The sequence below is a fragment of the Homo sapiens genome, chromosome 22, assembly GCF_000001405.40.
Source record: "Homo sapiens chromosome 22, GRCh38.p14 Primary Assembly".
Lineage (NCBI taxonomy): Eukaryota > Metazoa > Chordata > Mammalia > Primates > Hominidae > Homo > Homo sapiens.
This window is the reverse complement of record NC_000022.11, coordinates 43,739,988-43,763,741: the sequence shown is the minus strand read 5'-3', so window position 1 is coordinate 43,763,741 and position 23,754 is coordinate 43,739,988. Positions and strand designations below refer to the sequence as shown.

The 23,754-nt window shown below is 44.8% G+C and overlaps 1 protein-coding gene and 1 pseudogene across 21 annotated transcripts in view; both read left to right on the top strand.

Moving 5' to 3' along the window:
• The window catches only part of EFCAB6 (EF-hand calcium binding domain 6), a 283,528-nt gene that overhangs the window by 48,564 nt on the left and 211,210 nt on the right, over positions 1-23,754 (top strand). For 16 of the 21 annotated variants that reach the window (XR_007067980.1, XM_011530319.4, XM_011530317.4 and 13 more), the window contains one exon: positions 7,910-7,976. The exons of 2 other annotated variants lie outside the window; for them this stretch is intronic. Coding sequence is in view for 17 of the 19 variants with exons in the window: in XM_011530319.4 (XP_011528621.1) it covers positions 7,910-7,976 (67 nt within the window). In the remaining 2 variants the exon portion in view is untranslated. Of the gene's footprint in view, positions 1-7,527; positions 7,656-7,909; positions 7,977-23,406; positions 23,529-23,754 lie in introns of those variants that run through there. 3 more of the 21 variants (XM_047441461.1, XM_011530323.3, XM_011530325.3) reach the window with 3 other exon arrangements.
• Positions 3,820-4,527, top strand: LOC100419506 (ribosomal protein L4 pseudogene; annotated as a pseudogene).

Sequence of the window (23,754 nt, the reverse complement as noted above, 5' to 3'; positions counted from 1 at the left end):
ATCTAGTTCATTGAAAAAAAACCCACAAAAGCCAATTAATATCAATTGATCAGAGAAAACTGTATTTAATATAAACAAAATATGGACAAAATCACAGAATGAATAACTGACCTTCCTAAGGGGATTAAAAAAATTAAATTTGATCCTGAATTATTAGAAAATTCTGGTATCATGGCTTTTATGACGGATGCATCACTGATGCAGTTTAGGTGTAAGAATTTGTGTCGTGGGGAGGGGGAGATAGGGAATTTATGTACATGGGTGTAGAGTTTTGATTTTGCAAGATAAAAATGTTCTAGAGATCTTTTGCACAACAATGTGAATATACTCAACACCTACTCAACTACACACTTAAAAATGGTTATGTTATTTGTACATGTTTATCACAATTAAAAAAAAAGATGGCCGGGCATGGTGGCTCGTGCCTGTAATCCCAGCACTTTGGGAGGCCGAAGTGGGCAGATCACCTGAGGTCAGGAGTTCGAGACTAGCATAGCCAACGTAGCAAAACCCCATCTCTACTAAAAATACAAAAATTAGTTGGGTGTGGTGGTGCGTGCCTGTAATCCCAGCGACTCGGGAGGCTGAGGCAGGAGTATCACTTGAACTCAGGAGGCAGAGGTTGTAGTGAGCCCAGATCGCACCACTGCACTCCAGCCTGGGTGACAGAGTGAGACTTGGTCTTAAAAAAAAATGAATGAGTGCAGCAGCTCCAGCAAGAGTGACACAGTATCATCCCCTCCATGATGTGGAACTTCTCTGTGCTCTCTTTAGTTAGTGCTAAGTGGGGACTAAGATGATTTCCAGGCTCTTTCAAAAGAATGACAGTTTGTCTTGTAAGCTGCATATTCTTGTTCTTGACATAAAACCATCCCAATTTTATGGATAAAGTTCTTGGGTGGACAGTAAACTAATATGAATAGTCTTTGTTGGGAAAGCTAAAGAACTGGAAAAACTGAAAGCAGGAGAGCCTTTTTTTCCTTATTGTGAAACTTGTCTAATAAATTTGAGATGAAAGAGATCATGAGTTACTCTCTTAAACATAAAAGGCTAAACATTTAAACTAACTTTGAAAGATTTCTGATTTACTCGTGAAGCAGAATTATCTTTGTTGTTGGAGACAATACATTATAGCGAACAGAGACTTCTTTTTCTAGCAATACGGTAGGCTATATACCATGAACAACACTTCTACTGAAAATAATTAAAATGCTGGATAAAAGGCAAAATATGTACGTACATTTTAATACATTACTGAGCTGGAATCTTCAGAGGCCAAACATAGAGTAAAAATTGGGATCTAGAGAAGGGAGCATTCTACAAAGTCAGCTTCTCCCTGAGGGTATTGGCCAAATCCTGGTGAATTTGTGTATTCAGTTTTGCCATTTGGAGTATGGAGACAAGAGACAAAGCCTAGAAGGCCTTCCCAAGGTGGAAGGACTTAACAAAGGACCATCGCCTACAAAGTTGGGACCCTACATCCTCAGTGATTACAAATATAAACCTTCATCACAAAAGGGTACACTGAGGAAAACCACCTATTTCAACACTGGTGCTGAGTGAATAAGGGGAAAATTGTAATTACAAGTTGATTTGCATGAGGGTCTGTCCTTGAATTCATGCTATGTGGTCTGAAAAGTTTCGGGCAAGGAACTTTTTTGAGTAATCCTGGACGGGGTGTGCCCTTCTGTGGAAGAATGCATCTTCAACCTATCCCTTAAAGAATTTCCAGAGATAAAGTGCCAAGTAACATCAGATCACACACAAAAAATCTTAAAAAACATATGAAGAGACAAAGAATGAGAACTGCAAACCAATAGATGTAATACCCAATAGAATCGGGTCTCCAAACACTCGAAATATTGGAACTATCAAAGAATGAGGACTACAAACCAATAGATGTAATATCAAATAGAATCAGGTCTCCAAACACTTGAAATATGAAACTATCAAAGAAGGAGGACTACAAACCAATAGATGTCATATCCAATAGAATCAGGTCTCCAACACTCGAAATATTGGAACTATCAAAGAATGAGGACTACAAACCAATAGATGTCATATCCAATAGAATCAGGTCTCCAAACACTTGAAATATTGGAACTATCAGATATGTAATCTAAAACCAGTGTTTTAATATGTTTAAAGAAATGAAAGAATAGATTCAAAATATGAATGCAAAACAGGCAATAAAATGAATATTTGAAGAAGTATAAAATAGAACTTCTGAAAAATCTGATTGTAGATCTAAAATACAGTGGATGGGTAAAAATAGTGGATTAAACACAGCTGAAAGGAACATTTGTGGACTGAGAGATAGCTCTGAAGAAATTATCTAGAATGCAGTACGGAAAATTAGGAGGACAGGCATAGGAGACTTGGAAAACAGGAAGAGGAGTCCTAATATACTTTTAATTGGATTTCCAAAAAGATACCTGTCTTAGTCTGTTTTGTGCTGCTATAACAGAATACCTGAGACTGGGTACTATAGTGTGTAAGAAAAGAAATTTATTTCTCATAGTTCTTGAAGCTGGGCAGTCCAAGATCAAGGCAGCACAATGTGGTGAGGGCCTCTTTACTGCATCCTTGCAGAGTGGAAGGAGGAAGGGCAAGAGAGTATTGGCACCCTCCTATAAGCCCTTTTATAAGGGCATCTGAGGCTGGGTGCAGTGGCTTACGCCTGTAATCCCAGGCTCCTGTGACCTGTGTGTCAATCAAGAAGGCTGATATTTTGTGTCTAGCACATGTTTTTAAGGCTTACCCATGTTACAGCATGAATTAGTACCTCATTCCTTTTTATGAATGAGCTCAAAATGTTTGGGAGGCCAAGGCGGGTGGATCACTTGAGGTTAGGAGTTCAAGACCAGCTTGGCCAACATGGCGAAACCCCGTCTCTACTAAAAATACAAAAATTAGCCGCATGTGGTGGCGCGTGCCTGTGGTCCTAGCTACTTGCTTGGGAGGCTGAGGCAGGAGAATCACTTGAACCCAGGAGCCGAAGGTTGCAGTGAGTCAAGATTGTGCCACCACACTCCTGCCTAGGCAACAGAGTGAGACTCCCATCTCAGGAAAAAAAAAAAAAAAAATGCACCTACTCCTATTCAAGAGGGCGGAACCTTCAGGCCTAACCACCTCTTAATCCTCTCACAGTGGCAACACCTAAATTTTGGAGGAACACCTTCAACCCATAGCAGTATAAGAGAAAAAACAGGGCAGAAGTCATATTTGGAAAGATAATGGCTGAGAATCTCAAGCCAGATAAATAAAAAGAAATGCCTATCTAGACATTATCGCAGTGAAACTGCAGACATCAAAACCAAAGAGAAAATATTATAGGCAGTGAGAAGAAAAACAGAATTGACTTCAGAGGAGTGACAGTTAGACTGACACCAACCTCTCAACAGTGACAGTGAAGGCTATAAGATAATGAAATAATCTTTTCAGTGTGCTGACATAAAATATTTGCCATCCCAGAACTCTATATTATATACTTATATTTGTTTTCTTTTTTTTTCTTTTTTCTTTTTTTTTTTTTTTTGAGACAGAGTCTTGCTGTGTCACCCAGGCTGGAGTGCAGTGGTGCGATCTCAGCTCACTGCAACCTCTGCCTCCTGGGTTCAAGCGGTTCTTCTGTCTCAACCTCCCAAGTAGCTGGGATTACAGGTGTGTGCCACCACACTAGCTAATTTTTGTACTTTTAGTGGAGATGGGGTTTTGCCATGTTGGCCAGGCTGGTCTCAAACTCCTGACCTCAGGTGATGCGCCCACCTCAGCCTCCCAAAGTGCTGGGATTACAGGCGTGAGCCACCACACCCGGCTGGGATATCACATTTTATACCAGCCAAAACTTAATGCCATTGATAACATACAGTGAACATAACACAGAAAGAGTATGCCATCTCTTCTGTCCTGGCCTTGCCAGACCTTGTCATGTATCAAAATCACCATATTGAGGAAGTTTCTGAATATCCGATAGTAGTTGGTTAAGTTGGAAGCAGCATGAAGATTAAAAAGGTATGACCTGGAATCATATTTTAAAAGTCTCTGTCTCTGAGTATATGAGAGCTGGTAAGGGCAAAATGTGGAATTATTGTATCGAGCATAGAGGACCTTGTATCATCTATAATAATGGTAGAAACATCATCATCTCTTCAGAAACACCCAATGAATGATTTTGCTTAAAATGATCAGGCTGAACCTTTTGAGATTTGCTTCAGATGGACGTGTAGGACATTTCTACATATGGACGGAGAGGGCCCCTTGCATATTAGATAATCCGTGTGGCACTTGGTACGATGCTACTTCCATGAAGAATAACTACAATCGTTCGTGTACAAAACGGTCATTATAAATCTCAGCAGAAGTGTTTAAAAGCTTTCTGAGCACCACACAAGAAGACTTACTGAGAGTTCTGAAGAAAAATCTCCTAAAGAACCTGAGAATTCTGTTGAAGCTAAATCTATTCACCAGTACTGTGTATTGCAAGATTCTTTGGCAGTCTAGGTATCAGAGATTCAGATGGATAAAGGAAACAGCATCAACAGAGCATTAGTTCACAGAGTAGATGTGAAGCTGACTTTAGGCAGGTCTAGCTGACTCTAGCCTGTGGAAGAGAAGAAAGAAATAAGAAAGGCTTTTGGCCAGGCGTACGCCACCATGCCAGGCTAATTTTTGTATTTTTAGTAGAGACAGGGTTTCACCATGCTGGTCAGGCTGGTGTCGAACTCCTGACCTCAGGTGATCCGCCAGTCTTGGCCTCCTAAAGTGCTGGGATTACAGGCGTGAGCCACTGCACCCAGCCAGAACCTATATTTTTTTAAAAGCCTGTTGCAAAACATCTTGAATTTGTATGCCTCTAAAGGTTAATTTGATTTGGACAGCTTATTTTGAATTTTTGAATATTATAGACATAAAAAGTAAGAAAACATTTTAAAAATAAAAACTGAGGGTTAAAGACATTTTTCAGACAAAAACTGAGACAGTTAATCTCCTGCAGATCTTGACTGAAAGATCTTGATTCTGCTAGAAGCAGAAGGAAAGTAATCCTAGATGAAAGGTCTGAGATTTTAGGAGTGAAAAGCAAAGAAAGTGGCAAAATATGGGTAAATAGAAATGATTTTTGGCTATATAAGGTGGTTACAAAAATGTCTATGTGTGTTAAATAAAAAGTTTAGAGTTAAAACATTAGACAATAGTCAGCTGAGTGTGGATAAATTGAGTTAAAGTTTTCTAAGATCTATTTGATAGCCAGCAGGAGGATAAATATATTAATTTTATATGTTGAAATGTTATATATGCACATTGTGATTTTTAGGGTAACTGCTAAAGAATAGAAACAAAGTATTTAATTCCCAACATTTGGAAGAAAAATTGAAATGATTTTAAAATACTCAATCCAAAAGAAGGTAAGAAAGGGGAAAAAAATCTACAACAGATACTACAAATAGAGAACACAAATTTATAGACCTACCCCCCTCTGTATATAACATGACTACATTAAATGCAAAGGATCAAATATTTCAGTTAAAAGACAGAGATTATCAGACTGGATAAAAATTCCAGTTATTGACTTTTTGAAAATAGAAAGGATTAAAAAGACTAAAAGAAAAAGGATAGAAAAATTATGTAATAGAAAAAATAAACAAAAGAAAGTGTAACTACATTAATTTCTGGCAAAATAAATTTTAAGACTTAAGGATTCAATTATCATGTAGTCCACTTAAAAGACAAAGATTGTCTGTCTAGATAACAAATAGTGAAATCCAGTAAGAGAAAAACCTAAACTCAAACATAAAGAAAGATTAAAAGTGAAAAGATTTAAAAAGACATACCATTCAATATTAATCTAAGGAAAGCTAGTGTCACTAAGTTAGTATCTGACAATAAATGGTCATAGGCTGGGTTCTCCTGAAGCAGACACTGAGATGGAGTTTGGGAAGCAAGATGTAGATAAGGAAAAACACCTGTAAAGGGAAGCAGGCTGAAGCAGGATTAAGCAGAGGGAGAGGCTGAACTGCAATGCAGACCTGACAAAGCCTTGACCAGCTTGGCTAGAACTAGGCAGGAGGATGTGATTGGGAAGGGAAGGCTTCCTGGAGTTCCAAGGCTGTGTTCCATTGCTGCAGCTGGATGGGGGCGGGGGTTAAGTAACAAGCATTTGTTTAATTTTTATTATTTAATTCCTTTTTTTGTTTGAGATGGAGTTTCGCTGTTGTTGTCCGGGTTGGAGTGCAACGGTGTGATCTCGGCTCACCGCAACCTCTGCCTCCCGGGTTCAAGTGATGCTCTTGCCTCAGCCTCCTAAGTAGTTGGGATTACAAGCATGCCCTACCACGCCCGGCTAATTCTGTATTTTTAGTAGAGATGGGGTTTCTCCATGTTGGTAAGGCTGGCCTCCAACTCCCAACCTCAGGTGATCCTCCCGCCTCAGTCTCCCAAAGTGCTGGGATTACAGGCGTGAGCCACCATGCTTGGCTTATTCTTTAATTCCTAAACATTTTACAAATAGCGTTTTGTATCTATTGAATATATTATTGAAACAGTATTTAAGAGATTACATTTAACGTAGCATTATAGATTTGAATTCCTGATCAGTCCTATCTTTAACTTGGGAACAGAACCCCTCTGAGACTCAGTTTCCTCCTATGTAAGGAATTCAATCTCTGCTAAGCACTCCAGTGTCTTCCCCTTACCCTTTGAAGTCGACTCCTTATCATGGCCCACAGACTCACGAGCCTGGCATCTGCCTCCATCTGAACATAGCCTGCACACCTTCTCATTGCCCATCCAGCTCTGGTCTCCCTGGCCTCCTTCCTGCTGACCCTGGGGTCTGCTGAGCTCCTGCCAGCCAAGGGCTTCATACCAGCTGCCTGTTCCCTTTGCTTTGCCTGGAAGGCTTCATGGCCCTTCACCTTGTGGGCCTCTATCCAAAAGACACTTGGCCAGAGAGACCTTCTGCTACCCACTCCATCCAAAGAGTCATCCCATCTTCCCCCATCTCCAATTTATCTCCCTGCCCATCTTTATGTTCTTCATGGCACCTTTTATTATTTCAGCTCACATTACTTGTTTGCTTATTTCCCATTCGTCACTGTCACCAGTACAGGCAGTGTCTTCCTTAGCACCACGGCCCTAGACCTGGCAGGTAGGAGGCATGGACAGACATTGTAAAGTGGAGGGGCGCCAGCTCTGCCTCCTCGTGTTCTCCTCCCACCCTCACCCTACCAGTTTGTCCCAAGGAGGGGCTCTGCAGTGGTTTGTAGATACACAGATAATGCAAAATAAAAACCAGTGAATAGGGACAAGCAGATGGAACCCAGGGACGGTATAGATGCATTGACCACGAAGCCCTTCACTGAGCAGCTGAAAGTGAGCCGTTAAGGGGACGTAGAGCCCGACAGTGGTCAGGTCAAAGTGCTGCAGCTGCAGCAGAGAGGTTAGGAGCTGGATCTGAACCCAGAGCACCTGGGTCTGATGCTGGCGCCTCCACTTCCTCACATGTGACCTTCATTTTCCTCATCTATTAAGATCCCCGTCAGTCTCCTCGGTAAAGCAGGGATGATAATGGTCCCAAATCCATAGAGCTGTTGAGAGGCTTAAATGGGACGAGGCTTGTGAAGGCTTGGGACACAGAAAGTCCTCATTAAGTGTCAGCTGTAAGTATTTAATTTGCACATTACCTTAGGAGGAGTAAATGCTACTATATTTCATTTTATGGATGAGAAAACAGGCCAGGGGAAACAAAGTAATTTGCCCAGTTTCATGCTCCTGCAGACAGTAGCTTGTAAGAAATACCTTGCATTTTAAAATAGATTATTTGGAAATCCTTGTAATTTTGATCTCTGCATATCCTATGTAAACATTTATTTGGTTAAAATGTTTTAATAAAGATTTTTTTTTTATTTCTAAGGGGAGGTGGGAATGAAATGAATTGCTGCCGCACATTAAGAGAACTTGAAATCCAAGTGGGAGAAAAGGTAATAGAGATTTTAAAGAAATGATTTCCCCCCACCCCACCCATTGTCAGCAGTAATTGTTAGTGGAGGTAGATGATAGAAAATGAGCCACACCTTGTCATCCGAGTTCTCATGTCATAGTTGTCTGACTAAATAGATCTTCTGATAACAAGCCAGTGCGAAAGCTTGTATTCCGACTACTTTGACTGTCTTGGATGGCATCTCTTTTGATGAGTGACACCAGCAGAAGTCCTGGAATATTAATTACTTTTGTATTAACTTTAGATCATTATTAGTAGGGCTGCCTTTTCTGTCTTTGTCTAAGACTGAGTAGGTTTTTCTTTAGAAAGGGAAAACGACTGCTTTGCAGCAGTCAATGCCAATCAAGAGCTGCATAGTAAAAATAACCAGTCAAACTCAAAGTGATATATACTTAAGTATTGAGTAATTTAGCCATGAAAGCTACTATGTGTTTAGAAAAAGAGCATATAGCATCGTTCCTATTTGCTGATTGTGGTTAGATCTCACAGCACACAGCTAAGGCGGGGAGGAGATGATAATGTCATTCAAGGGTTGGAATCAGACTCCTTTTTAAAATGCATTTGGGCCTGTCAGTTACATGAGCAGTTTGAGAATCATGGTTTAATTTATTTGATTCAATATGTTGGTTTGAAATGTGACAAATTTTCTTTTTTGAACTCTTCTGAGACTCATATATTTCATACTCAAAAATAGCCAGAGATCCACAAAATGTTTGTCTCAATTTCCCTAGCTGATACCATTAACACCAGAAAATTCATCTCAATATGATAATTTCTTAGCATTATGTGTTTCTAAAAACCTGTTTCACTATAGTTGATATTATTCAGAACCCAGGTATAATTGTCTGCTGCTTTTGCTGTGACCCATTTGTTATTCTGCAAGAGTTTTGTCGTGCAATTGATATTACTTAGGGGTATATGTCTTCTTACTCTTTAAACTGTGTTCATCATGATATGCTTCTGGAAAAGTCCATTGTTTATGACAATTATCACAGCAGCAGAAACATTGTTAAGGACCAGTAATGCAACATGACCTTGAGTGTGGAGATGCAGACAAAGGCCAGGATTGTAAATGGCCCAAAATAAGGCTGTGGTGAGCAAATCTGAAATGGAACTCCATTGCTGTCCATCCTTTCAGTTAATTTTTTATCCCATCCTCCTCCCCATGGAACCCCCTGCTAAGAGTTGAAACCCAGGCAGTTTTCATTCAATTGCCTATGAGAACAAACAGGTGAAGGGAAAAGGTAATGCTTAGTACCAGAGCACTGGAGGGTTTTTTCTGCCGTGTGTTCCAGCCAGCACAGACTGTAGCCCAAATTCTACCTATGACCCCAACCCTGGGCAGGCAGGGGAGGTTGGAGGAGACTGACCCCGGGACCCGGGCAGACCTGGGTTTCCATCCTGGGGCTCTGCTATTTACCAACCACGTGGTCTCAGGCAAGCCCTCATCATTAGGTTTTTTCACCTGTCAGTGGGGATAACAGCCACCACCTTGACGTGCTGCTGTGTGGCTTAAAAATATCCAGAATAAAGCACCTGGAACACTTAATAAATGCCAGCTGTTACTATTATGCTTATCCCTACAGCTTCCTTTGAAGTACAGGTAGGAACACAAATGAATCTCATTCCTTTCCAGCCCCTCCACCTCCAAATAAAGAGAACAAATCAGTACACCCCTCAACTGTGTGCTTTGTGCAGTAGCATGCTTCTAATGAAGACTCTGACCCTTCTAACGGTCACACACTAATGTTGGAGACTGAGAAAAAGACTTAGGAATGATCTAAGTAAGCCTCTCTTCATACACATGTCATTGCTGGGTGATGGTTACAGTTTGGGAATGAAAGAATGCTAATTATTTTATTTTAAATATGAGCCCACGTGGCTTACTGGAGCCAAGAATGCATGCAGATGTCTCTGAATTTTTGGAGCCAGACTCTGCTCATGCATGTTTGGACCAGCCTTCCTACACCAGCAAATAATTAGCAGTGGGAACCCCAAACCAGCTGAACCCCAGCACTCCTATTTCCTAATTGTTTTCTTCTGCAATGAGCTTGGTCTGATGGCTGATTTGTCAGCCTCTCTCTTCTTCACAGGCCCTCAGACCCTCCAACCGACGCTCATGTTCATGCTCTTATCCAGTCGAACCCTTGGGCTCTCTGAGCCTCATTGTCTCTATAAGTCAAGGGAGAAGGCCAGATTGGATGACCTCTGGGTCTCATCTCTCCATCCTTGGTGACTGTGTCCCATGGCTTCATGGGAAGAGGCGCTCTCTGTTTTGAGGAGGAGTCTCTGTAAGCCCAGGGTGGTTCTCAGCGTGTCCTCTTCGGGATCCACCTGGTCCTGGCTCTGGTTTAATCTGCACTCAGGTTCCACTCAACAGCCACGCTAAGTCCTGGCGCATTCCTCACTTGCTATCACTCTCCTGGCCCTTGCTTTTCGTTTTGGCCACAACCTTGACCCTCTGCTTTCATGTGGCTCCTCTGTGCCTTTGCCTGAGCATCTCCTGGACTGGCTGTTGAGTTTGCTGGTCTTCAGCTTCTTTGTCTCCATAATGTCCTAGGAGCCAGAGGGATTTATGGAGAATCAGGTACACCTGGGCTGAAACCCTGCCTCTGCTGCTGGGGGCGGTGGGGTGCCGTGGATGGTTTCTCATTTGTTCTGAGTTTCCTCATCTCTAAAGTGGAGACAACTCTAAAGTACCTTTCAGGGTACTGACAAGAATGAATGTAAGCAAAGCCCCTGCATTCAGTAGATTGTCAGTAAATGTGAGTCCCTTCCCCTACTGATGAGTGAAGCTGGTTCTCCTTGCTGAACACCACTAAAACCCTTGCTGTGGCCGTCTTTATCTGCCACCAGCTGGCAACCCCTTGGACACAGAGATGTTTGGTTTTTTTCCCTTATGAGAAACCGAAGACTCCAAGTTAACTATCTTAGAAAATAAGGAGCTTCTTATCTCACCCAAGAAGTCAGGAGGGCGTGGAGACTAGGACTGACTAACACACCTACCTCTCTTCCTGGTTACCAGGAGGTTGCCAGCACTCCAGGCAGATGCTTTGATGTCAAATTTTTTTCAGTGGGCCCTTTTTTCCCAATATGACTCTAAAAACAAGAGAAAGTCCCTCCCTGTGTCCCACAGCCTGGAATTATGCCCCACACCTAAAGCAATCACGGGCAAGGAAATTGGTTCCCGCCAGCAGCCAGGACCAACCTCAATCACCACCTGGTGTGGCCACTGGGCTCCCTCCTATGAAGCACATGGCCACCCAAGAAGGGCGGATGTCTGAACAAAATGGAAAATAGAGGGTTTTGTTAGAAAGGAGAAGTGGGCAGCCGGGCATGGTGGCTCACGCCTGTAATCCCAGCACTTTGGGAGGCCGAGGCAGGCGAATCACCTGAGGTCAGGAGTTTAAGACCAGCCTGGTCAACATGGTGAAACCTTGTCTCTACTAAAAATACAAAAATTAACTGGGCATGGTGGCGCACACCAGTAGTTCCAGCTGCTCAGGAGGCTGAGACAGGAGAATCACTTGGATCCAGGAGGCAGAGGTTGCAGTAAGCCGAGATAGTGCCACTGTACTCCAGCCTGGGCAACAGAGGGAGACTCTATCTCAAAAAAAAAAAAAAAAAAATGGAAAGGAGAAGTGGTTAGAGGTGAATGGATTTGGGAAGGCAACCAATCCATCTGCTTCAGCTACCTATATAAGGGACCCCTCTTGGCTGGTGGGGCCTTAATCTTTTGGACATTAATGTAATTTTTCAGATTTTGCCAACTCTAGTAATAATAGCTAGCACTGAGCACGTACTAGGAGCTGTTCTAAGTGCTTTATCGCATTAAGGCATTTAATTCCCAGGTGAACCCCATGAGGCAGGTGCCGTTGTTATCCCATATTGATATGGAAGGAAGCTGAGAGAAAAGAGGTTAAGCAGGCATATGTTGATGCTTACTTTGCATTCAGCAAATGTGACAACTTGTTACACCTGTAGTTAGACCCAGTCCATCACAGAGAGAAGTCTTTCTGTTCATCATCACCGCACAAGTCGGTGGAGCTTTGTGTTCCAACCACAGAGTTGCCTTTCTGTCCATGGAGCATCTACTTCAAGTGGGCATTTGGGAGTTTTCTTCCCTTTTCTCTCTGGTGTCCTGCCTTTCACACTTCCTCCACCGCGTCAGTCTTTCATGCACCCTGTCTGCCTGTGGGGTCCCAGCTCCATCCTGGAGTGGTGGCAGCGCCCGAGACCTCAGACAGCTTCCTCACATTCTTCAGGCGAGGACTGCCAGGAGAGAAAGAACTTGAACAAAGATGCAGTGTGTTGCCAGGCTAACGAAGTGTAAGTTTTTTTATTCCATCTATCATTTGTCAACTCCCGACAAGAGGTGAAGATAGGAGTGGCTAAGACAGGAAGAAAATCCCATCTTACCACCTAAGGTGAGGTGAGGGCTCATTGTAAGCCCTGTTGAGGGAAGTACTGAGAAACAGAAAGCTATTCTGACCTGTATAGGAATACAGTGTATGTTCAGAAGGTCGTGACTCTCCCCCTCACAAAAAAAATACGTTCTTCACTGAAGACTAGAATTAAAGAATGTATATTCAGTTAAAGAAGTACATAAAGAAAAACAAAGCATTCTAAGCCCCAGGCTGTTTGCTCTTGTACCGTGTCACTACCCAAGTCAGGGAGCTCTCAGAAGAAAAAAATGCTTGAAGGTTCAGGCACCATGATGCCAGAACATCTGGTCTACCCAGTCGGCTGTGACAAGCGTGTCTGTTGGACACTGAGTGATCTGACACAGGTTTTTATGGGATTACCCTGGTGCCTTGGAGGTGTGTGGAGATAGTCATTTCAGAAGTAATTAGTAAATAATTATAATTGCTGAGCTGCTGGCTTGCTCTGTAATATCCTCATGAAGAAGAGACAAAAGTGGTGGGTAGATTCATTCTCTTAAAGAGGTGAATTTTCTTTAAAAAGACATTTAAAAATTTAATATTCAAGGGATAAAGAATCAGTTGTTAGAATCACCACCATTTCATAAACACACCTTAATTTTATAACACTACATTAGCATGAATGAATAGACAGGAATGCAGTCTGTTTGCCTAACAAAAAGGCTGTGTCAAGCTCAAAATGAGGCCATTTACTAAAACAAGCAAGCTCTTGGTTAATTCCTAATATTCCCCTAATCCTACTTTCATCAGCTCTACTTTGCTGCACTTGGTATTAATTGCCTATTGTAGCAGGTATTTGAACACATCTCCTCTTTCATCTGAAGAAAATATTAGCATATCGTAGAGCTGTTGGGACAGATTGTATCTGAGACACTGTTTCCTCCCCGCAGAAAAGCCTATCAATCATAACTGAATATAGTGATTAATAATGTCACAGCTTTTATTCTTGTGTCTCCGTGCATCTAAATGAAGAGTAGCACTTATATTTTGATCTAGAGAATCTCACACCACAAAATAATCCGTTGGCATTTTATTAAAAAATTATATTGAGAATACTTCTACCCCAGGACCTATTTTTGGTTGCTGTATCATTAATTTACTAAAGCTTTCATGAAGGAACTACAGCAAAGATTCTGCAATATCAGAATTTGCAATTATTTCGGACTAAGGTTTTTTTTTTAATCTTCCTGTGTGTGACAAATTAATAGTGCAAACGCAAGATTGTAGGGGTAAATGTTTAAAGCAGCATGGTGTGGGGGTACAGTCTGGAGCTCTGGCCTTAGCAAGTCCAAGCATGCATTTGAACACCAACACGGACTCTCTGAGTGATCCTGAGCAAGCTAGTCTTGCCTCTTTCGAGACTTTCCCCATCTGTGAACTGGGTGAACAATATTGCAAGGTTTTCTCAGTGTTATTGGGATTCTGTGTGAGAATAAATATAAAATGAACTCACCGTAGTGCTGGGCACATAGAAGTTACTCAACAAAATTAGGAGTTTGTATTTAGAGGACACAAAGCATGCGAGTTCTTACGTGGGAAGTTAAAGGATGGCATGCGATCATCTAGGGCAGCAGTCCCCATCCCCCAGGCTGCAGACCTGTACTGGTTGGTGGCCTGTCGGGAACCAGAATGCACAGCAGGAGGTGAGCGGTGGGCAAATGAGCATCACCGCCTGAGCTCCGCCTCCTGTCAGATCAGCAGCGGCATTAGCTTCTCATAGGAGCACGAACCCTATTGTGAACTGCGCATGCGAGGATCTACGTTGCACGCTCCTTATGAGAACCATCTAACTAGTGTCTGATGGTCTGAGGTGGAACAGTTTCATCCCGAAACCATACCCCCTCCCCACTGGCCCATGGAAAAATTGTCTTCCACAAAACTGGTCCCCGGTACCCAGAAGGTTAGGGACTGCTGCTCTAGGATTGAAAGCTACTAGGGGAAGAATAAGAGGGCTATATGCTGAGGGTGCCCACGTTTATATCTCCTTCTGAGGCCCCAGACTCACCAGTGTCCACAGACAAAAACGTAACTCGTGACTGTCCTCCTGCCCCACCCCAAGAATCCTTCCTCCCAGGTCAGTAAATGGTTCTACCACTCATCATTCATTCAAGCAGAAACCAAGGACCAGTCTTGATTACCTCTCCCTTACCAGTGCCCCTCCCATATGCAGGCCGTCAGCAAGTTATGTCTACTGTATCCTGAACTAGATCCCAAACCCGGACACTTCTGATCCATCCCTACTGCCATCATTATACCTAAGCCACCATTGTTGCTGGCCTGTGCTTTGTCAGTGACTCCTTAGCTGGGTTTCCCGTTGCCTCTCTTGCCCCTTATAATCTGCATTCCACACAACAGCCAGAGTTATCCGTTCAAAACATAAGCCAGAGCCCGTCAGACTTCTCTGGTGAACATACCCATGTCTTTTGCTTGTGCATCGAGTACACTTCAGTTAAATGTCCCAGCTTTCAGAGCTCTGCCCGAGAGAGCTCTCTAGTGAGATGTCTTTTGACTACCCTAAAACTGTACATTTTCCGTAACACGTAGAACATTCTGAAATGTTGTTTGTTTGCTTGTTTGTGACTGGGATCTGTGTTCTGTGGGAGCAGGCACCTTTTCTGTCCTGTCCACTGTGGTAACTTCAGTGCCTTGAACAGTTCCTAGAGCCGGATATACACTCAGTAAATAATTATTGTATGAATAAAGAAAGTTTTGTAGAAAAGTTCATATTCCTTGGAATAGCCAGGAACAATTGGATGAGGAAGGTGATATTGGAGCTTGAGTTTGGACCATAGATAGACTTGCAATGCACGTTGAGGATGGGATAGGGGAAGAGATGTGGGGTAGTTTTCAGAATTGCAACCTGGCCTAAGAAAAGGACATGAGGAGAGGGAAGCCGGGCTGTGGCCAGAGCACCGCAAGGAGACAAGCCCTGCGGCTATTCTGTAGAGTTATGTTTCTCAAGGCAAGTTGGGACAGATCAGTTTTGAAAGGTAGACTGGCGGAAAAGATGCATTTGAAGGCCAGGTTTTAACCCTTCGGCATGGGTCAGGAGGAGGATGACTGAAGGTTTCTGATAAGGGGGTTATGATGTATTTAGGAGAGTGCTGTCAGCAGCATCATGGGTGCATTTGCTGGGAAAGCAACTGGAGTCAGGCGTACCTGTTACCAGGCTTGGAAGTCATCGGTCACCCTCTTACCATCATCGTCTGCATTTGTTGAGCACCTACTGGTGTTGTGGGGACACCATGTGGTTATTGGGGATACAAAGAAGACTAAGGCCTGATTCTTGTCCTCCAGAAACTTAAAATCACCTTGGGGACACAAGCGTAAGCAACACATTATGATGGTTTAAAAATGTGTTTATTGGGCGGTATATCACCTAGATCAGGAGGAGTTAGGGAATAAAGTGATACAAGTTGCTCATACTGACAGCTGAGAGATGTGGACAGTAAACTCTCTAAGACTTTGTAAGAGAAAGTCACCCCTATTGGCTACTGGGGAGGTACCCAGGGAGGGTGATTGGTTTGAACCAGGCCTTAGAGGAAGGGTAAGACTTCAGATGGTGTGTACATAGCAGGGGCTCATTAAGTCTAGGAATTCATGAATGAACAGAAGGCAGGCAGGAGGGCACAGGGTGGGTGTTCTCCCACCAACTGGATCAATTTGCCAGGAAGAAAGATGTCTACGGGGGTGAACGGGGAGGACGTAGGCACTCCCAGCTGAGTGTGCACTGAGTGAGCTAACAGTCTTCCTCCCCAAACCTGCAACATATTCTACATTGTTGATCTTATCCAGTCAGGTCACCAAGGCAGAAACTGGGCGCCACTTCGACTTTCCTTTCCCTCACCCTCTACATACAGTTAACCACTAGGTCCTGCAGATTTGGTCCCCCAGAGCCGGCCCCAGCTTCTCCAGTGCTGTTCCCCTAGTCCTTGAGGATTCACAATGTACGTTAGCATAGTGAAGGCTCAGAGGAGGCTGCTGTATAGAAATCTATTGAATGTTGCTGCAGCCAGCCTTTCCGTGCATGTGTTTGTTTAGCTCTAGATCCAGAAGAACTTGTGTTTGGAGGAACGCCATTTTGGGAAATGCTGGGGGAGACGACAGACAAAGTCTTTTTCTACTCTAAAATGTGATTCTGGTCTATTTCTTAGGTGAGGTGGTCTGTGGCTGGCTAGGCTCTTGGCAAAGTGCTACAGCCACTTGGCAGTACCCAGCATTGGCCCAGCCTGGGAAACTTTTCACGTAACCTGAACAGTCTTCTGCGGTTTGTCTTTCTCAAAGCAGCATCCTCTTGCATGAGGTCCAGATAAGCAGCAGGATGCTGGGTCAGCATAGTGGCTTCTGATCTTCCAGGCTTGCCCCTGCTGGTGTGCAGCTCTGTCCTGTGAGTGAGCTGAGGCCAGGGCTCTTAGGGGCCCCAAGATTCTTGGCCCGTGGCAGCTGAGGTGGAGTACCCATCCTATGAGTGTGGGCTGGGTAAGAAAGAAAGGAAAGAAAGGAAAGATTTCTTATAGATCAGCAGCCCTTTTTAAAATTTTAATTTCTAATTTTTTGTAGAGATGGGGTCTTACTATATTGCCCAGGCTAGTCTTGAACTCCTAGCCTCAAGCAGTCCTCTTGCCTCAGCCTCCCACAGTGCTGGGGTTACAGGCATGAGCCACCGCACCCAGCCTGGCACCCTTGTAAGTCCCTCAGCTTATAGACGGGGCACCTTTTCATAGCTGTATCGTAAGCTCAATGGGTAGCTAGAGTTTCTTAAAAGAAGTCTATAAGCTATACGTTACAGGTAAGCATTTTAAAAATGAAAAATTGAATGTGGGGGAAGGTTTACATGGCCTGTGGACTTTATATAAGCACGAGTTTCCCTCTTCATCTTGGCTGCAAGGAGACCCCGAACCAGAGTTTTGCTTCATTGTGTCAACTATGACTTTTAGGTTTCTTTAGCTCATTTTTTCGGGGTCAGCTTTCTTTTCTCCATTTTTGTGGATCTTATTTGGATATCTTTTTCAGTAAGCTTTTTCGATTTTTGGTAAAGGCAGGGTATGCCTATGGTCAGTAAAGAAATTTGTAGTCCTTGGCCTGCGAGGGCAACTGCCAGAGCAATGAGAGCATCAGCCCAGAGGCAGGGAGGCGAGGCTTTTGTGAAAGGTGAGCGATGCCCGGCCCCCGCTTCCCGCTTGTCCCCGGATTGGAAGTTTGTGTTTATGAGGTTCTGAATGTAGTCTAATTTTTTCCTATCTGGTTTGGCGCATCTCTACCAGCTGGTAAATAGGAAATGTTCACGGTAGGAAGCCAATACTCTGCAGAGTGTAAACAGATGGAATCGATATAAAGTGACAAGTTAGACTGTGCTATTGAGAATACAGAGCCAAAACTAAGAACATAACAGTCAAGCTACTTATTTCGTTCCAGTTCATTTAGTCCTGAATAGTGCTTCATATCTGCACAGCTGTGTTGTTCTTTTTTCCCCCTTCCTTTCTTCTGGGTTGATAATGACAATTTCAAAGAAAAACTTTAATTAAAGATTTTATACAAAATAGCCAAAAGTAGAATAATAAGGAAAATGAGCATTGATGTGTTTATTGTAAGAGAAATCCTTTTTCATGGTTTCATTTCAAATCTGTACTTCTTAAATTTAAAATGAATTTAGTGGTGGAGACAGAAAGGTGCCAGACTGACAGCCGTGGGTGTTGAACTCTTCCGCTTGCTGCTGAGCCAAGACATGGGGGTGCCCGAAGCCCCCTCCCCTTGGGACTCAGTCTCAGTCTACAGGCAGGCGGGTGGGATGCGGTTCCTGACCCCCTTCTCTTAGAAGCCAGGTGAGAAAAAGTGGCTCCGGGTGAGGAGCTGCACAGAAAACAGCTACACGGAAGCCAATAAGAATGAAATTGTAGAAGGTTTAAGTTCGTCTGCGGGTTATGCTGTGGCATGAAGAAGCTTGGCCTGCCTCCGGGAAGGGCCACGTTAGTGCCAGGCCTCCAGAGGGATTGTTTTCCAGGCGGAGTGGGAATTCTGGGCTTCAGAGGGGAAACATTCAGCCTTTTCTCATCTTCTTTAAAGCCTGGGTGGTCAGATTTATTTGAGTTCACAGTTTTCCTTCCTGGAGCTCAAAGTGCTATAAAAAGAATTTTAAACAAAGAACTCTGGAGTAATAATAGCATCCATGGTTAGCAGTTTATGGAACCATCTGAACTCAGTGGGGTACAAATATGAAGCAGTTTGATTTCTTAGCTCTCAGTTTTCTCCAACAGGAGCTGCTGAATCTCCCTCTCTTGTCCCATAGGAATATCTTCAGCAGATCTGGTGGCTCTCTGGTCACATTTAGGTCTAAACAGGTCCAGTGCAGGCGAGTTCAGTTTAAACCTCAAGTGTGGGGCTGGTTCAGCACGCCCTTCTCAGCTCCTCCAAGCCCGAGGGCCCTGGAGTGGGTAGGGCCTGCTCACTGGCTGTACCTCCCTCCTTCTTTCTGCTTCCTCTCTCCCCCAGATCATGGGGTCTGTGATGAGGGCTGGGGAAGGAGAGCATGTCTCTCTCTCCCTTATCTGGGTCCTCTCTGGGAAGCTCTCCTATAGGGTCCGTGGGGAGTAATTAGGACAGTGCTTTGGGGGCCTCTGAACTTCATGGTTTCCTGTTGAGGAAGATCAGCCCTGACTTAGCCCCCTCTGGACCCCCTCAGCTCCCACTCCTGGTGGTCCAGCTCACTTCCTTTGGCTGCTTGGGTCCCCTTCCCTGATGAGCAGTCCCTTGGGAACAGGACAGCTCAAGATTTCTACCTGTCATGGTGTCCTCTTAACCCATGGAAAATTCACAAGTCCCGTCCATACCAAAATAGGTGTTCAGGCTGCTTTCATCTGCTGCTTCTGCCTTGCTCTGCTGTGTCTGTCTGAGTCTCAGTTCCTCTTCCCAGGTAGGTGCAGAGCAGATCACTGAATCCACTGGGAAATGAGATGCTTGTCTACCCTTTTTGCAGGTTCCTGTCCTGTCTCTACAAGGATTGTCTTGGCTTGCAATCTCCCCACCTACCCACCCACTCATCCATCCACCCATCCATCCTTCATCATCCATCCCCACATCCATCTGTCCATAGCCCTTCCATCCATTCATTCATCATCCATCCATTCATCCATCTACCCATCTATCCATCATCCATCCATCCATCTACCCATCCATCCATCCATAACCCATCCATTCATTCATTCATTCATTCATTCATCATTCATCCATTCATCCGTTCATCCATCCATGCATCCATAACCCATTCATTCATTCATTCATTCATCATTCATCCCTTCATCCATTCATTCATCCATTTACCTATCTATCCATCATCCACCCACCCATCCGTTCACCCATCTGTCCCATTCATTCATCATCCATCCATTCATCCACCCACCCACCCATCCATCCATCCACTCACCCACCCATCCATCCATCCACTTAACAGTTATTCATTGATCCAGGCCCTAGTCTTGGCTCTGGACTCATGCCTATTCAAGACCTTCCTCCATCTCTAGGCTTCTGTTTTCTTAGTCTGGGCAATGGTGCTGTGGAGGGTGAGGGGTGAAGGAGGGACTGGGGTTGGGGAGAGTAATGCCGTTTCAGCCGCTTAATATTCCCTGACATGGGTGTGTGGTTATTTGGATCTCTATTCTTAGCCTTTGATCCCAGTCAGCAATTCTCATTTCACCACCATTTATTGAACGTGTTCCGTGTGTGAAGCACCTGCACACATGAGCTCCTTTCATCTTAAGCACACACCACACACCTATATCCTTATTCATTCTCATTTCACAGGCAAGGAAGCTGAAGTTAGAGGAATCAGGCTGCTTTCCCCAGGTTACCTGAATAACAGGTGCGGAGCTGGGATTTGAAGCCTCATTTCAGCACCTGTGACTAGTCACTACATCATTCTGCCCTTCAGGTCCCTTGTGGAGAGGAAGGAGGCAAAGAGGCGATTTGATACACTGGGATTGTCCAGTGGGGGTCGCTCCAGCCCAGAGCAGTTATGTGCCTTTCAGTGGGCAAACCACCCTGCCTGGGAGAGGGTTCATTTTCCCCACTCTCCGGCTTTCATCTTAAAGGTCAGACAGTCTCTGCTTCTTCTAGTAACATTTATAATTCTGCCCTTCATCAGTTCACCTAAATCTTTTTAATTGAATATTTTGTCTTGCTATTACTTTTTACAAAAATTTGTTATTTTTATTTTTAGTGATCACTTCCTTCTTTTACTTCACTCCTATGTGACATGGAGCTTCATTTCCTTGCTTTAAATGTTAGGTAACGGGCTTGGCTTATGCAGCCGCACTTTGGAACTTCAGAGTTTTCTGTCTTGCCTTCCCCAGCCTTGCTCTCCAGGCAGAAGAGCCCAGTGGGTTTGGTCTCATGGTCCTCCCCTAGATAACTTGCTTCAGCCATCATGCCGAGGTCCAAGCAGCTACCTGGCTCTAAGGACACCTAGAGGGTCTGAGACTATCCTGCTCCCAGGCTCTGCAGTGCTGCGGTGGTGGCCGGGGTGCAGTGGGGGTGCCGGGAGGGCAGCACCTGCTCACGCACAGGGCTAGCATATGGCCCTGAGCAGGGCTCAGGGAGTCAGGCTGGAATCAGCGCCAGGCTCAGCGGGGGCTGCGCAGAGTGGGGCTGGGACCAGGTCTCTGGCCAGGAGACGGGCAAGAGGGTTGGGACCAGACTCTCTGGGACCATGCAGGCCCATTTCCTGGCTCTGAGCCTTTAACTTAAGGCATAGTTAGCTGTTGCTTTGGTTTCCTTTTAAAATCTTCAGTGCTTTTCCTCGTGTTTGTGCACAAAGAACTCTCCTGAAACTTCCTCACCCACTCAGATGTAAGTAAGCGAGGATGGTGTATAGGGTGGAGGAGTGGAGTATGGGTCAGTGAACTTTTTCCATAAAGGGCTCAGGAGTAAATATCTTCCCAACTATTCCACTCAGCCCTTGGAAGGGAAAGCAGTCCCTAGACGATATGTAAATGAGTGGGCGTGGCTGTGTGCCAATACAATTTATTTATGGATACTGAAATTTGAAATTCACATAACTTTCGCATGTCATGAAATATTAGCCTTCTTTTGATTTCTTTTTCAACCATTTAAAAATGTTAAAAACCATTCTTAGCTTGCAGGTGTACGAAATCAGGTGGTGGGCAGTAGTTTGCCACACCTGGAATGAAGGGAGTTAGGTCTCCATGGGTAATGACTCAGGTGATACTAGGGGCAAGATGTTCTTTTCTGAGAAGCATGCTGGTTTGGAGGAGGCTGCAAGAAGCAGGGACCTTTCCCCTTTTGTTACCGGTTCAGCGGTTTTTCCCTCTCTTGGTGGATTTGGCTCTCTGAGTACTCCTCCCGCCAGGCGCTGGGGATTTGAAGGGTGGAATGGAATGACAGGTGAGCAGGGACCAGGTCTCCCCTGCCCCCAGGGGAAGGAGCTAGTTACCAAGTGCAGGCAGAAATAAACCAAGATGGCAGGGTGGAAGTCAGGGTTCTGCCCGTGGCTGGATGGAGGGATAATTAGGAAAGCCAGAAGAGAAGATACCGAATCCTGCCCCAGAGTGGACAGTGGCAGGACAGGGAAGGGCCGCAGACACGGCTGCGAATCCACTCTGCATGTATACTTATGGGCATCCGCTGCGTCTGGGCACTATTCTGAGCCCTGAAGATAGGGCAGCAAACAAAACCAACTTCCTGCTTTGTGGAATTTACATTTCAAAGGAGGAAGAAAGACAATAAACAGCTACAGAAATAAATAGGAAATGGTCCAGGTGTTGATGAATGCTAAGAAGAAAAATGAAGCAAGTGGTCAGCAGAGTATGAAGGCGCGCTTTCAAGTAAGCGAGTGAGGAAGGCCTCAGCGGCAGCGTGGGATGGAGACCTGAACGAAGGCAGGGAGGGAGGCATGAGCAAGCTTGGTGCATGTAAGGAAGAAGGAAGAGGCCCCATAACTGAGGCAGAGTGAAAAGGGGCAGATAAAGCAGGGGTCAGACCATCTATAAATAGGAGCTCATAGCGGATGAGAAGAGCCCCAGTACACTTGTGAATTCAAAGTCGGTCAGCATGGCTGAAGCCCAGAGCCCGGAGACCGTGGCTGGGAGAGGAGGGGGTGGGGTGTGCACAGTCACTATTGTCGGGAGCCTTAGCTTAGCCATTTTATTGCTTCTTCTTACTTTTTCATCTCTCCTCCCCTGTGTGGGACAAGTCTTGGACACCACGGCCCTAACTTTGTTGCCTTTGATAAGCCTCGCCATCTGCAGCTCAATTCTTCAGCCCTTGCCAAACTTCAGTCTGACAAATGATAAGAGCCTTGGAGACGTCGCTCTGGTGGGTGTGAGCTCGCTGCCAGGTTGCTGCTTCCCGGTGCTCACGCTAGAGATCCATATGGGTTGCTCTGGGGTTTTAAAAAAGCGCATCGTGCTCATGTCCTCCATTTTACCAAAGGAGGTAAATCTGGCTTTGGCAGCAGACAAAGTGCAGAGATTTTTATCCGGCCATGAGAGCAGGCGCTGTCAGTGGCTGGGGCTCCCTCTTTCAGGCAGAGCGGTGGAGTGGAGGACAGAGGCACTGGAGCCGGCTTTGCTTCTGCCGGTGCCTTTCCCTCTCGGCTGCACTCAGTATTCCCAGTTTTGGATACTGAGGCCATGTTAGCCAATGTTCTTTGGTTGTCAGCTGTTCTCTAGTCAGGAGGCTGGTATGGAGTTAAGCATGGGGCTCTGCACATAACAGACATCCGTTCAGTTCGTGTTTGTGCGAAGATCATGTTATTGTAATCATCATGACATTGACACTGAATGTCATCATGACTGCACTCAGGATTGGTCCTGAATGCAGGGGCCAGTCGACTGAGGAGGTATTTGCAGACATAACACGAGGCTTCTGCAGATCGTGGCTCTTTTCCAGGCAGGTGAGGAGGAGACAGATTCATTCATTCCAACAGATACTCACTGAGTGTCCACACTGTGCCAGATGCTGTCCTAGAGCTGGGGCCATGAACAAACCTTGCTCTCAGAGGGGGAGACGGACCATAAAGACAAAAGGAGGTGATGCCATTTGAAGAGGAGTTTGGAGAGAAGATAAGAGGATTGGGGGTGAGGAGTCCTAATTTGCATGGTGACTAGGGAGGGCGTTTCTGGGCCAAGACCTGAATGAAGCCAGGGAGTGAGCCAGTGAGTGTCGGGGGAAGAATGTTCCAGGCAGAAGGAGCAGCAAGCGCCAGCGCCTTGAGGCGGGAGGGGCTGAGCAGTCATGGGGAGCAGTGGGGTCTGGTGTGGCCAGAAAGCAGCAGGTGGGGGGCAGGTGGAGGGAGACACGGCC